We start from the raw sequence: 16,415 nt of genomic DNA on the forward strand, positions 1-16,415 counted from the left end.
AAGACCTTATTTAAGCCTAATGACCTCCCCAAGATTCCACCTCCAAATACCATCGCAATGGGGATGAGGGCTTCAATATATGAATTTGGTGGTGCACATTCAGTTCATAACACAGATAAAAGCAGTTTAATTGGTTGAAGCAGAGGTAGAGGAAACAAAATGCTGTCTAGTTGCTACACTCTTTTGCCCAAATGGGCCCCGACATCACTTCTGTGAATCTCCTGTAGGCTTCCAAGGAGCATTGTTTGCAAAACCGTTATCATCTGACAATATCTTAAAGGTAGTGCGGTATTCCATTGCATGGATGTACACCATGGATTTATCTAGTTTCTATTGTTGGACATCTAGGTTGCTTTCCATTTTTCATCATTATAAACAAAATTCTAATGGACATCCTTGTACTTCCAACCTTGTGTGCACCTGTGATTGTTTCTCTCAGATAAAGTCTTAGAAGTAAAAATCTCTTTTGATTCCTGGCTTGTGGAAATTTCCCCCTGAAGCCCAAATCTCTGCTTTGGCATGCCAGGAGGAAATTTGCCCAGAGTGTGGGCCTCAGTTCAGAGTGGGTATGTGCTGGACACAATATGTCTTCATAATAGATGGCCTGGTGTTGGACTGCTGAGTCATGCTCTGTTGTCAGGACAGCAACAGACTTTCCCCTGGGTCTGGGCTGGCAAGACTGGTGCTTATGATGCTGTCTTATATTTGCAATAGGCTTTTACAGTTTTCAAAGCCCTTTTCATCTGTTGTTCCACAGTCACTACATGAGGTCAGCTGGGAAGATATGAATGTATCTTTAAAAGCATACTGAAGTTCAAAGAGGTTAGAAGACTTTCCTGAAATTATGTATCTAGTAAATGGCAGTACTCTGTACTAGTCAGCTATTATGGCAATAATGCTGCATAACAAATACTCCCCCCACCCCCAGGTCTCAGCACGTTACATCAACAAACAGTATTTTTCTTTCTCCCATGAGAGTTGGGTCTGAGGGTTGGCCATGATTTAGCTGATCCCAGCTGGGCCAGTGTGGCTGGTATAGGGGGCAATGGGTATGATGACACAAGACAATGTCAGAAAGGAAGCCTTGGGCAAAACCTTAAAGGCCATGGTACAGAGCTGGAATCTTATATTGCAATGGGAAACCATTGGAGGATTTTCCATAGAGGAGTGACATGACCTGATTTGTGTTTTAAGAGCCTGTTTGGATTTGTTTGTTCAATGCTGTATTTTCTGTGCCTGGTTAATCATAGATGCTCCATAAATATTTTACTGGATTAATAATGAACCTGATTCCAAAAAAAGGAATGGAATGCAAGACTAGAGGCATTGGATATATGTCCAGCCTCTGCAGGGTGCTGGTTAAGCTGGTTAGCTTCAGTAGGAAAGATCCATTAGCTAATTTATTTATTCATTTCACTCACTGAGAAAACATTTGCTAGGTGCTTCCTCTGGGGTATCCACATCAGCAGAGGAAAAGCTAGGGAAGGCTATGACTTTGCAAACTCTGTAGAAACCTCTGATGGAATCACCCCTCTACTGTCCACTGTAGTCCTCTTTCGAGGAAAAGAAAAAACTCAGGGCAGCTGGAGAAAAAACAGAGCTCAGACTCGAGAAAAAACAGAGCTCAGACTTGAGACACGGGCTTCCCTCTATAGGGGTCAAAAACCAGGGCGGAGAGAGATAACCATTGTTAGAACTTGAACCTCCTTAACTCATCATTTCATTCAGCTCCATTGTGTAGAAGGGGAAACTGAGGCCCCTAGGGTGGGGGTTGAACTGCCATGCTCGAGATGACCCAGCAAATGAGTGGCAGAGCCAAGTAGAGCCCAGACCTTCAACCTTCTATTCCTGGGGCTCTTTGCACAGCTCTGCCCTGCTGCCCTCGCCTTTCAGCCAACAGTTTCCGCACTCTACATATGAGTTTGGGGGAGGAACATAATACTGTTTATTTTGAATTGAAATGCTTTTTAAAAAATTAATAACCAGCCACACAAAGATAGTTTACATTTAAAATTAGATGTTAAAGTGCAAAGGTTTCCTTCAGGAATAGGAATTATGTCTTCTAATTATATAGTATTTGGAACTACGCATTTCCTTTGAAGAAATGCCTTATAAATAGGTCAAAACAGCCTTCACGTTTCTTATGTGTTTACTTGCGTGGTGTGCTCATTTGGCGTTTGGCCCTGATATCATGCAGCCTTGAACCCTGGTTACATTTTCTTGTGTAAAGGAATTATCTCCACTTAGACTGCAAACAAGATTTTCCTACTTGTCATTCTTTTTCCCTCCGTCACAATGTCTAGCGTAGTGCCAGGTACAGGCAATTTGCAAATATCCATTTAAAAAATTATTTTATTATTTTTTTTAAGTTCCAGGGTACATGTGCAGGATGTGCAGGTTTGTTATGTGGGTAAATGTGTGCCATTGTCAAAGATTTAGAACTGGAAATACCATTTGACCCAGCAATCCCGTTAGTGGATATTTACTCAAAGGAATAGAAATCACCCTATTCTAAAGATACGTGCACACATATGTTCATTGCAGCAATATTCACAATAGCAAAGACATGGAATCAACCCAAATGCCCATCAATGATAGACTAGATAAAGAAAATGTGGTACATATACACCATGGAATACTATGCAGCCATAAAAGGGAATGAGATCATGTCCTTTGCAGGGACATGGACGGAGCTGGAAGTCATTATCCTCAGCAAACTAACTCAGGAACAGAAAACCGCACATCATGTGTTCTCACTTTTAAGTGGGAGCTAATATCCATTCTAATTTCCTTTTCATCTCCTCCCCTCACCTGTCCTCCCTTTTCTTCCAGTTCCGTCCTCTTCCCTCCTCTCCAACCCTCTCTCTCCCTCTCATCCTTCTTCCCTATCTCAGCCCTGTTTTCCTTTCCTTCCAGGAACATTTTGGTAATGTGCCAAGCGCTTTATAGGCTTTGGGGACTCAGTGATGAATTAAAGTGAACACGTTTCCTGCTCTCACAAGGCTTTGAGTCTATTTTGGGAGTGGTGGGGGGCAGACACTAAACAGCTAGCAGTGCAATCATTTGTGTAATTATATCTGTAACATGTGGGGGGGATGATGAAAGGAGAGTGTGGAATGAGGGAATTTGGTCAGGGGTCAGGGGTCAGGGGACGTTTTCCTGGGGAATCCAGGCTTTAGCTGAGACCCGGAGGATGAGTGGGAATGACCAGCTGAAGGAAGGGAGACAGTGGAATAGCAACCCAGGCAGAGGGAACTGCATGGTGCAGGGACAACCTTGAGTGGGGAGTGGCCTAGGGCTTTGGAGGGATGGACAGGAGGCCAGAATGGTGGGAGCAGAGGTAGCGGAGTGGAACATGGAGAGGTGAACATAAACATCACACAAGGTCTCAGATGCCACGAGGAAGAGTCTGGTGTTTTTCTTGACGGCAATGGAGATCCATGGAAGGAATTTGAGCCAGAGAATAACACAGTCAGAATTCCATTTCTGGAAGGCCACTTGAGGCCAGAAGTGGAGGCGGTTCCATCAACACGGAGTGGATTAAATAAACCATATTACCTCCTCACAATGGCACGCTCTGCAGATGTAACAGAAAAAGGATGTGTCTGTATCCTGATGTGGAAAGGTCCCCAGAGCACCCCGGCCAAAACTGAGGAAGAGAACAGAGTTTTTCAGCTGAAGAAAGAAGGGGGAAGAAGGAGAAAGAAGGAGAACAGTGACCGCATCATATATTACAAAATGTTAGTGAACACAGAGCCCATTCCCCTGCCAAAAGCAACCCATAAATCAGCCCCAGAAGGCACAGGAGTTCAGTGCACTAGAAATTTCCCTCCAATCAGCTCTCTCCTGTGAACAGCGAGTTCCTTGCGACAAGTCAGGTTTCAGCTGAGCCCTGCAGATTGGGTGGCTGTCAGGTGTGATCACACACACCTGCTACAGCTGGCCTTTCTCTGCCAGGGAGTCACACCTTCCAGTCTTCCAGCATGACTGAGACTGAGAACCAAGTGGCCAGAACCTCGGGCCTGGTAAGAATAATTAAAATGGGATCAGTGTCTGTCCCTGTGGCGACGTCAACATCAGAGCTCCCAGCATGGAGGTCTCTGGCATGGCTGGACTTACTTGCTGAGGACTGGTGCTTGGCCCGTCTTGCCTGCACTGGCCTGGCTTACTCCAGTCGATGCGAAGGCACTGCTGTCCACTGCCTGGCCATCATGTGCTGGTGCTGTCTGTTGTCATTTCATACACATGATCTCAAATTCTCAAGACAACAGCCCTAGGAGGCAGGAAGGGGAAACTGAGACTCAGAGTGGTTCAAGGACTTGCACACAGACAGTGAGAGAGCCAGAGTCAGGGTTGACCCCAGGCCTTCAGGCTGCTGTCATTCTGGGTTTTCTGAGCTTCCTCACCATTATTTCCCAGTTCCCCAGTTGCATGAATGATAGTTGCCAGGTTCACTTGTGTTATGGACTGAATGTTTGGGTCTTCCTGCAAATTCATATGTGGAACTCTAACCCCCAATATGCTGATATTTAGAGGGCCCCTGGGAGATAATTAGAGTTAGATTAGAATATCATGAGGGTGGAGCTCCCATGAGGGAATTAGTGCCCCTATAAGAAGAAAGAGAAAGAGCAGAGTTTTCTCCCTGTCTGCCCCATTGGGACATAGTAAGAAGGTGTCATCTGCAAAACAGGAGGGGAGCCCTCACCAGGAACCAAATGTGCTGCTGCCTTGATTTGGACTTCCCAGCCTCCAGAATTGTGAGAAATAAATGTCTGTTGTTTAAGCCAACTGGTCTATGGTATTGTGTTATGGTGGCCCAAATGGACTAAGACAGCATACATTTCCCCTCGCCACTTTGAATCACCCTGATTTTCATTTGGAAAGTTACATCCCCCTTCCTAGGTGTATCTTGTTGGGCCTGACCAGGGGTAGCTGTGTGACCACTCAGAGCTCTTCTTTCAGGGCCTGGCCTCTTGAGTAGATTCTTTTAGTCCAGTACCCTCCTTCCACTGGGGTGCTCAGGAAATACAGGGAGGGAGCACAATTTCTGTTGCCCCATCCTGATCCTACTGCCAAGCCCAGTCCTCCAGCCTTCAGGTCCACTCTGTTAGCAACCTTGGGTCCACACAATCACACCCCTTTCTGCTTAGGTTCGCCACAGTTGTTTCTGTTGCTTGCAGTCAGAGGTGCCTGAGGGAAGCAGGAGCCTGGGTGTAGGCACTTTAAGTGCCATTTGTTCTTAGTTGTCAGCTGACAGTTTGTTGTGAGATAATGTGTGCCTGTTGTGATGAGATGAGTGGGAATGGTGAGGACATGGAGTGCATCTCTGCAGGACCCAGTATTGGGGGTGGAAGGAGATGTAAACAAGGTCATAGTCTCTGTCTTTTCCTCCAAGAAAAGCTGGGGGCTGGAGACCAAATGTGTATGCAACATGGCCTTTGTCTTCAGGAGCTCCTAGTGTAGCAAGAGATGTGACACAGACGTAAATAACCATAACATCAGGGTGGATGTCATAAAAGTATGAGGGAGACCATATGGCTGGCAGGGAGTTGGAGAGAAAGATTGTTCAGTGTGTGGGATAATTAATAATAGTTGACATTCATCAAATCCTTATTATGTGCCAAGTGCCTTCCTAAATGTTTTATATACTTGTGTCATTTAATTTTCATCATAACACTTGGAGGTAGCTACTATTAGTTCTCCCATTTTGTAAATGTGGAGACTGAGGCACAAAGGGATTATATAACTGGCTTATGATTATAAGGCTAGGAAGGTGCCAGGTGGGATTTAAATACTTCCATTTCTGGCTCTCCAGTCTAGGTTTCACAAAGTATCATACAGGTGGAAGCTTTTGAGTTGAGTTGTGAACGGCAGAAAATTTAGCCCCGAGTTAGCTTATGCTCACCTCAGGCAGAAGGCATTAAAGCAAGCATTTTTACATGTTTTGGATGTCATAGCCGAGGGAAGAACCATTTATGTAATCCCTTCCCTCTGGTCCTCACCAAGGGGGCTTCAGAAGCCCTTCAAGTCATAGCCTCATAATTAAGTAAATGAAAACCTTCCTGTGAACAAGGAATCTTCAAAGTGCTACTGCTTACAGACTAATAACACTGACAGATCATGGTTTTCATTAGAACAAATTGCTGCTGAAGTTGGGCCAGGCCCTAGGTCTGTTCTGAATATGTTAAGAATCAGTGCATTGCCAGATCTGGTCTAAGGTGCTAAATTTGAAAAGGATTTAGAACCAAGATACAGATGGAGCTGATCTTGAAGGAAACAAGAATGTGTCCACTGTTTTCACACCTAGGGCTTTAGCACACAGCAGGCATTCAATAAATTATCCATTGCCTGACCAAATGAAAAAGGTCCCAAATTAATTCCATGGAGCACCAGAGGTGTACAAACCACAGGGGTGATGGTGTATCAATCAAAACATTGGACTTTCTGTTTTTTTTTTTTTCAACAGAAACTCAAACTGACTTAAATAATAGAATTTATTAGCTACCTAACTAAAAAGTTCAAAGGTACAGTGGCCATCAGGAAAGGTTTGATCCAGCAATGTTAATGTCAGCAAGTTTTTCTTGGTTTTGTCTTGAGAGCTCAGCCCCTAGGAAGTTTAAGACAGGATGTGTTTATACTACAGCCCTGTCTGAAGTCTGATGTTGTGGCTTGGTCAAGGGTAATATTTTACAGACACACAATCTGGCCCGAGACAGAAAGAATTCACCAGATTGCCAAGACTTTTGTAGAGTACAGAGGAGCAGATCAACACAATTCAAGATCGTGACAGGGAATGTAGGGAATTCCTAGCTGTGTTAAACCTCAAAGAAGTTACTTAACCCCTGAGATTCTTGTTTCCCTCCACAGTAAGCATGAGGGAAACATAATTTCTGTCCTGTTTATTTCTTGGGGTTGTCAAAAGGCTCAATTGAGAACATACTTCTATTATAATTCTGCATAAAAGAGCAATATAATTAGTGATCATGGGAATTAACTGATTATCAATGATGGTGATTTCTCCTAGTAGATGTTTAGGCTGATTCATTAGTTTATCCTTATATATATCTCCATGCACATACGAATAAATGAATATCTATCTATATATACACACACATACATATATATATGTATATACCTTTCCTTCAGGAAAGGTTTGGTCTAGCAATGTCACCAAGTTATTGGTTTTGTGTTGACATCTCAGCCTCCAGGAAATTTCAGAGATTGTGTGTTACATCATATTACATCAATATTACAGCCCTATTTGAAGTCTGAAACATGTATTTATGCATGTGTGTTTGAAATATATGAGGTATAATTAATATACCATAAAATTTCAGCCTTTTAAGGTGTACAATTCAGTGGTTGTCCTTATATTCACAAAATTGTTCCACTATCACCACTGCCTAATTCCAGAGCACTTTCACCTCCTCAGAAAGAAACACTGTATTTGTTGGCAGTCATTCCTCCTTACTCCTTTCTCCAGCCCTTGGCAACTACCGATCTCCTTTCTGTCTCTTTTATTGGGCACCTATCGTGTGGGAGGCACTCTACCAGTTCTGGAGATACAACTGTGAGACAATTCTCCCAAGTGATTTGGAATCAGATGAACAAACCCTGAATTACTCAGGCAAAAAATTAATGGGTCTGGCTAGCTTCCAACGTCACTTAGGAGGTGGCTGCTTTTTCAGGGAGAGACAATATAGAATGGAGTGTGCAGGGTCTGGGGTTTACTCCCCCTCCCACATCGTGGCAGCCACGTGGCCTTGGTGTTTTCGAGTTTGAGTACTGTCCTCTATAAAACGGCACCTCCCCTCTAGGGTTTTATCCTCATGAATATAAAATGAGATGATATATGTAAAACATCAGTACCCAGCACATAGTCAGTGCTCAGTAAATAAGAACACTATTGTAATTGAAATGAATGACAAAAAGTGTTTTTCATTGAAGAAATAGCAAAGGGCGATAAGTGCTTATCTTAGGAATAGAAGAACAGGGGACATTTTCTTAACCTCATACTTCACTGCATTGAAACTGAGGTTTCCTGACCTTGGCTGTAGCATCATCTTGGACTGGATAATTCTCTGTTGTAGAAGGCTTCTTGTCTATTGCAGGATGTTTACTGGCATCTCTGGGCTGTATCCCTTGGATGCCATTAGCATTTCCCAAGTTGTAACAACCAAAATTGTCTCTAAACATTGCCAGATGTCCCCTAGAGGGCAAAATATTCCCTGGTTGGGCACCACTGGCTGAAACTGAATGTGTTCTGTGCTGGATACTTCACTTTCCTACATCTATGATTTTGCTCACCTAGGGGACATCTGCTTCCCTAATCCTACCCTTGGCCTTTAAGACCAAGCTCCAGTGCTATCTCCTTCCTGGATCTTCCCTGATGAAAGAGTTTCCTCCCTTCTCAAATCCTAAAGCGCTTTATCTCTGCATCTTGTATGACAAGAAGGAGTGCCAACTATGTACCAGATATGTGCGTTCTTTCTTTTTTTGTAGAGACAGGGTCTCACCATGTTGCCCAGGCTGGTCTCGAACTCCTGGGATCAAGCAATCTTCCTGCCTCAGCCTCCCAAAGTGTTGTGATTACAGGTGTGAGCCACTGTGCCCAGCAGTGCTTTATAATCTTTATAACAATTCCACAAGGAAGGCATTCGTTATCCCCACTTGCAGATTAGGAAGCCAAGGTACAAAATATCCCTTTCTCTGGAATAATCTGTATGCAAAACTTAGCCCCTTGGAAGACTGAGAAGGCCCTGTCTCATTCATTTCCAGCACAGTGCCTGGCACAGAGTAAGTGCTAAGAAAATTTACTGAGTAAATGAATGAAAAGAAAAAGAAGCCTTGGAGGAAGATGTTCAGCATAGTTATCAAGCCTTTGAACATGGGAAAGACTCAGATCTGTCCTGGGTGGTTAAATATTCATCTTCCTGTAGGATAATTAGCTGTCCAGACAATCTCTTGAAATCTTGCCTGATTCTAGCCATTCAACAGGTTTCCTGGGTGCCTCCTGGGTGCCAGGACTTGTGATGATCTCTGGGGAGGTCCAGAAATGAATAAGACATGGTCCTGTTCTAGAACTAGGAATACCATTTGACCCAGCCATCCCATTACTGGGATTATTACCCAAAGGATTATAAATCATGCTGCTATAAAGACACATGCACACGTATGTTTATTGCCGCACTATTCACAATAGCAAAGACTTGGAACCAACCCAAATGTCCATCAATGATAGACTGGATTAAGAAAATGTGGCACATATACGCCATGGAATACTATGCAGCCATAAAAAATGATGAGTTCATGTCGTTTGTAGGGACATAGATGAAGCTGGAAACCATCATTCTCAGCAAACTATGGCAAGGACAAAAAACCAAACACCGCATGTTCTCACTCATAGGTGGGAACTGAACAATGAGAACACATGGACACAGGAAGGGGAACATCACATACCAGGGACTGTTGTGGGGTTGGGGGAGCGGGGAGGGATAGCATTAGGAGATATACCTAATGCTAAATGACGAGTTAATGGGTGCAGCACACCAATATGGCACATGTATACATATGTAACAAACCTGCACGTTGTGCACATGTACCCTAAAACTTAAAGTATAATAATAATAATAAAAATAAAAAATAAATAAATATTATTATCCCTGTTTTATAACCAGTGTTATGGACATCCAAGGACAATGTTGATTTTGTTAATAAACAGTGCATCAAATAAAAAAAAAAAGAAATACTCTGGAGATTGAAGATGCCTATGAGCTCCAAAGCATCGATTCCTCTCCTAAGTGTAGCTCCTAAAGATATTGTTGATCCTGGGCACAGAGAGACATGCAAATAACAGTTATTGCAATGTTGCTGGTAATAGTGGAAAAATTGGAAACAACCTAAATCAGTGATTCTCAAACTTGTCTGCATGTTAGAATTACCAGGAGATCTTTAAAAAATTCCAGAGCTAAGCCAGGCATGGTGGCTCATGCCTGTAATCCCAGCACTTTGGGAGGCTGAGGCAGGTAGATCACCTTAGGTCAGGAGTTCAAGACCAGCCTGGCCAACATGGTGAAACCTCATCTCTACTAAAAATACAAAAATTAGCCGGATGTGGTGGCACATGCTTGTAATCCCAGTTACTTGGGAGGCTGAGGCGGGAGGATCAGTTGAATCCCAGAGGCAAAGTTCACAGTGACCTGAGGTGGCACCACTGCACTCCAGCCTGGGTGACAGAGGAAGGCTCCATCTCAAAAAAAAAAAAAAAAAAAAAAAAAAAAAAAAAAAAATCCAGAGCTCAGGCTACATATATCCCATATCATATAAATCACAGTCTCAAGGCTGGGACACATTTGTCACTATGTTTTGAAGATCCTGGGTAATTCCAATGTGTAGACTAGTATGAGAACCACTGACCTAAATATCCATTATAAGGTGGGTGAATAAATAAATTATGGTCTACGTATATGATGGATTACCTTGCAGTAATTACAATGAATGAACTATACCAAAAGACATGGACAAGAATGTTTATAGCAGCACTATTCATAATAGCCCCAAACTGGAAACAACTAAAATATCCATCAATGGCTGAATGAATAAATAAATTGCTTTGTAATCGTAAAATGAAATATCATACATTTTTGAGAATGAACAGCTACAACTGTATGTGTGAACCTTGCAAATATGCTGTTGAGTGAGAGAAGCCAGGCACAAAGGTGTACAGACTGTGTGTGGTTCTGTTTATGGAAAGTTCTGGAAAAGGTCATCTGCAAACTTTCCTGGAAAGAGCTCAGTAGTAAATATTTTAGGCTTGTGAGTGATGTGGGGTGTCTGTTGCTACCCAACTCTGCCACTGTGGTGCAAAACCAGCCATAGATGATATATGTAAATGAGTGAGTGTGGCTGTGTTCCAATAGAATTTTATTTATAAAAATGGGAGGTGCAGGCTGGGCATGGTGGCTCACACCTGTAATCCCAACAATTTGGGAGGCCGAGGCTGAGGTCAGGAGTTCGAGACCAGCCTGGCCAACATGGTGAAACCCCGTCTCTACTAAAAATACAAAACAATTAGCTGAACGTGGTGGTGCGCACCTGTAGTCCCAGCTACTTGGAAGGCTGAGGCTGGAGAATCGCTTGAACCTAGGGGGCAAAGGTTACAGTGAGCTGAGATCCTGCCACTGCTCTCTGTCCTGGGTGACAGAGCAAGACTCCATCTCAAAAGAAAAAAAAAAAAAGAAAAAAAAACGGAGGTGCACACGATTCAGCCCACAGTTTGTAGTTTGCTAATCTCTATTCTGGAGCAAACACCATTCACCTACAGTGAACCTGCCATGGAATTTGTCACCCTGGGTGGAGGGTGGTTAATGTAAAAAAAAGCACAAGAGAGCTCCTGGGATTTGGGAGATGATTTTTTTTTTTTTTTTCTGTCTGGGTGCTGATTATGCTATAGTGCTCACTTGGTGGAAATTCATCACTCCTTGCACTTATAAAGTGTACACTCTTCTGTAAGTGTTGTTCTCCAGGCGGGGTGCAGTGGCTCACACCTGTAATCCCAGGACTTTGAGAGGCCTAGGCAGGTGGATCCCCTGAGGCCAGGAGTTCGAGACCAGCCCTGGGTAACATGGTGAAACTCTGTCTCTACTAAAAAAACAGAAAAATTAGCTGGGAGTAGTGGAGCATGCCTGTAGTCCCAGCTACTCAGGAGGCTGAGGCGGGAGAATTGCTTGAACCCGGGAGGCGGAGGCTGCAGTGAGCTGAGAGCGTGCCATTGCACTCTAGCCTGGGAGACAGAGCCAGACTCTATCCCCACGCCCTCCCCACCAAAAAAAATGTTCTTCAGTGTGAAGTGTACACTGGAAACAGAAAACAAATAAATGAATGAGCTGAAACTGTATTCATTAAATCAGCACGCAAAAAAGTAAGTTTTGGAAGCTATATTCAAAATGTAGAACGTGCAAAACAATATAGTAAACTGTTTAGGGACCATGTCACAGATCTAAAAGATATGCAGGGAAAAAATAATCACTACATTCAGAATGGCGAATACCTTGAGAAAAATGAGATGGGGAGAGGCACACAGGGGCTTCATGGATAGCCCTAATTTTTTTATTTCTTGAACTGAACTGTGAATAAATGGGCTTTATTATGTTATCCTTTATTTCCCTTTATGTATTTAAATATTAAATAATAATAGTAAAAAGAATAATAGATACTATCCTTATTTTTAAGGAATATATATATTTTTTCAATGACAGATTTAGGGGGTACAAGTGCTGATTTGTTACATGGATGTATTGTGTAGTGGTAAAGTATGGGCTGGAAAAACTGGATTGCCATATGCAGAAGAATGAAAGTGGACCCCTATCTCTCACTAGGGGTATATATACATATATATATATATATACATATATGTGTATATATATATATATACATATATATATACATATATGTATATATATATATACATATATATATATACACATATATGTATATATATATACACACATATATATATACATATATGTGTGTGTATATATATATATATATATATATATATATTTTTTTTTTTTTTTTTTTTTTTTTTTTTTTGAGACCAAGTCTCACTCTGTTGCCCAGGCTGGACTGCAATGGTGCAATCTCAGCTCACTGCAACCTCTGCCTCCCAGGTTCAAATGATTCTCCTGCCTCAGCCTCCCAAGTAGCTGGAACTATAGGCACACACCACCACACCGGCTATTTTTGTTGTTGTTGTTGTTGTATTTTTAGTACAGACGGGGTTTCACCGTGTTGGCCAGGCTGGTCTCAAACTCCTGACCTCAGGTGATCTGCCCACCTCAGCCTCCCAGAGTGCTGGGATTACAGGTGTGAGCCACCGCGCCTGGCCGGGGCATATGTTTTAAAGTGGGTTCAGAAGAATGTAAGCCCATGAGGCAGGGATTTTTATCTATTTCATTCACTTACTGTATTTGTCTGCAGTGCCTCGAACAGTGTCTGATACATGGGAGGCACTCGCAAAGTATTTGTTGAATGAATGAATGAAACAGCACGTGGACAGTTAGAGATTGACTGAAGAATACACTTTGGTAGTGCTGAGGGAATTTGGACAGGAGAAGAACCAGGAAATCTCGAAAGACACCCACCTGGGATCCTGGCAGGAAGCTAGGCATTGCTAAGTCTCTCTTTTAGCTGTCTGCACAGGTACTAATTTTCCAGCCTAAACTTCAAGACTAAAACTTCGGGGCAAATATTTAAAAGGTGACACCTGCTGCCCTTATCCCCCCTCCAAATCAGGACTCTGTGTAGCTAAGGCTGTTGAGGACTTCTCAGCTTGCCTGTTTCCTAGGGCTGTCTAGTAAATCCTGAAGCCTTTGCCAGTAGCCAGGAAGCTGAGATCACCTCGGAGCACAGATGGGGAAGGAGGTTATGGGGGAGACAGAGACTGTGCCCAGCTGGGTTGGAGAGGCAGGCAGAAACCCTCTTGTCTCTTGGCTGGCTGCCCAGTCTTGAATGGGAGAGAGGTCTTCCCACGAAGGATGAGTCAGCCACTGAAGCTTGGGAGAGGATGGGGTGGGGAACTGTGACCTAATTTGCTGCATAACTGGGGAGGCAAGCCTCCTCCCTGTGCTCTGGGGATGCTGTTTTTTAAACACTTTATAAATCTCCCTACTCACCCCATGCTGTTGTGTGGATCATCTCTCTTTAGGAGCAGGGGCTGTAGGAACGACATATCGTACCAGATTAATTTTATGACTGCCATTATTATGAATGCCATCATCATTGTTGTAGGGGTGGATCTTTGGTGCAATTCATCAAAGCAGCCAAAGTAAGGAAAATCCTGCAGAAATAAGGAAAGCTAATATAATAAAGACCTTCTTAGCTCCTTTCCAGATCAGTGTTTAGCTCAATTTTAGTGGTACCCAGGTTTATTCCTTTTAGCTTTCTCTTTAGAGAACTGTCCTATAGATTCCGGTCTGTCTTTGCATTGTAGTCTAATTAGTCCACAAAAATTTCTCTTGCATGCTTAATCTATGCCAGACACAATTCTAGACATTGGGGATATGGTTATAAGTAAATTAGGCAAAATCTCTGCTCTCTTGGAGTTTGTGTGTGTGTGTGTGTGTGTGTGTGTGTGTGTGTGTGTGTTGAGAGGGGCAAGTGGAGGAAAAATGTAAATAAAAATAAATAATGATAAATAAAGGTAAATAAAAATAAATTATGATCATTTCCAATGGTTGTAAGCACTCACATTTAAAGGGTAGTGTCATATATTAGCAAGAGTGATCAGGGAAGGCTCTCTGGAAAGAATATTTTAATTAAAAACAGAAAGATAAGAGGAAACAGAAGAGCAGAATGAAAGAGTATTCCAGCCAAGAAGCACCACAGGTGCAGAGGTCCCAAGGTAGAAACAAAGTCTGGCAAGTCCTAAAACCAAATGAGTGGCCACTGTGGGTTGGGTCATCTTCCTCACCCACACCTCCGTATATCACTAAGTGAGCAAGGATGAGAGTGATATATAATGAGGTGAGGGATGTTGGAAGGATGAATCATACAGAATCTTTTAGACTCCAGCAAGGAGTTTAGACTTTCTTCTAAGTCAGCACTGTCCAAATCAACTTCTCATGAAGGTGGAAATACTCCGTGTCTGTTCTATTCAATATAGCAGGCACTAATCTTATGTGACTGTTGGACCATTGACATGCGGGTAATGCAACTGAGAAACTGAATTCTTAATTTTATTTAATTTTAACTAATTCAGAGTTAAATTTGAATAATTGCATGTAGCTATCGGCTACCATATTGGATAATGCAATTATAAGTGACCCAGGAAATAGTGAGGGTGTTGGTGCAGTGGATGGTAAGATTGGGTAATGCTTTTTTAAAGAATGGATTTTGTGGCTGGGTGCAGTGGTTCACTCCTGTAATCTCAGCATTTTGGGAGGCCGAGGTGGGAGGATCACTTGAGGTCATGAGTTCAAGACCAGCCTGGCCAACATGGTGAAACCCTGTAGCTACTAAAAATGCAAAAATTAGCCAGGCGTGGTGGTGGGTGCCTGTAATCCCAGCTACTTGGGAGGCTGAGGCAGGAGAATCGCTTGAACCTGGGAGGCGGAGGTTGCAGTGAGCTGAGATTGTGCCGCTGTACTCCAGCCTGGGCAACAGAGCAAGATTCCATTTCACCCCTCCGCTCCCCCCACACAAAAAATAATAGATTTTGTTAGCAAGAATAAAAGCAGGGACTCATGAAGGATCCTATTCACTTTCCCTGAGGAGCCTGGCAGCTGAATCCCATATTCACAGAAAGTTTTCCTTTTGCCCTTCTTTTCCTTTTCAAATGCTAACAGGTTTCCTGGAATGATATGGGATCAGGAGGGCCCTCTGGACTGAACTGATTCTTCAGGGAAATAGAAAGTCAAGAAACATGTGCCTGTTGTTTCGCTGGAGAGTTCAATTCTAGTGCTGCTTGGGAAGTGATTCTTAACTTCCATAAAGATATAGGCTACAGACTACGCTAGTTAATTCCATTTGGGCAGTCACTGGATGAGTGAAACATTTCGACTTCAGAGCAGAGATTTGGCAGACAACTGGGAGGCATCAGACTAATTCATCCCATCACTCTCCTTCCTCCTGCAGACAAAAATGAACTTAATAAAATCTGCAGATGCTAGTGATAGTTGCTTTTTTTTAGTGCCTATGAGCTAAGCAACTTGTGTATATGTAACACATTGAACTTTTCCAACCACTCTACCTACTAGTGAATGATTCTTAAGAAATTTTAAACTATAAATATTTACATTAAGACTCCTAGAGGTGGGGATAGTAGCACTGATTTGGGCACAGTGGAAAGAGCACTGAATTGGGACTTCAGAAGGCTATGTTCTGGTCTAAGTTTTGCCACTAATTGTCTGTATAGCCTCGAAAAAGGCTCTTCTCTTGTGTGGATATTATCTGGAGGGGATTAGTAACGTATTCTTCAAGCACCCTTCTGGATTTTGTTGCCTGTGGCATAAAAGTATGCTTGCTTTCCTTATTATGCATAAGTGGCATCAAAGTATTATTGGAAGTGAGGCCCAGAGTGGGCTGAAGACACAAGTCAAGGGTCTCCAGCACTGCCTGCCAGGATTCTTTGGTGGTAAGCCAAAGAGACCAATTAGAAAGTGGAAGGCCTAGGAAGAAAAGGGACCAGGGAGTTCCAAGGTCCCTAGAGAACGGCAATGAAGTCCTATCTAGCGTCCGTCCTTGTATTCACTGCTCATGACTCAAATTATGGGGAGAAAGCGTATATCTGGACAAGCTTGGGCCACTCCTTGGCCAGGAGAGGGCAGGACATCTTTATTGATAATTTCTCTAAAATTTTATCCAATGGAAGAGAGGTAGTTCCCTAAAGGAAAATTGACATGTTCTTACCCAAAGAA

At 42.8% G+C, this 16,415-nt stretch overlaps 1 protein-coding gene across 6 annotated transcripts in view; it reads left to right on the forward strand.

The window, feature by feature from the left end:
• SHISA9 (shisa family member 9) overlaps positions 1-16,415 on the forward strand; it is a 661,420-nt gene that overhangs the window by 56,340 nt on the left and 588,665 nt on the right. The gene's annotated exons all lie outside the window — the stretch shown is intronic.

The sequence above is a fragment of the Homo sapiens genome, chromosome 16, assembly GCF_000001405.40.
Source record: "Homo sapiens chromosome 16, GRCh38.p14 Primary Assembly".
Lineage (NCBI taxonomy): Eukaryota > Metazoa > Chordata > Mammalia > Primates > Hominidae > Homo > Homo sapiens.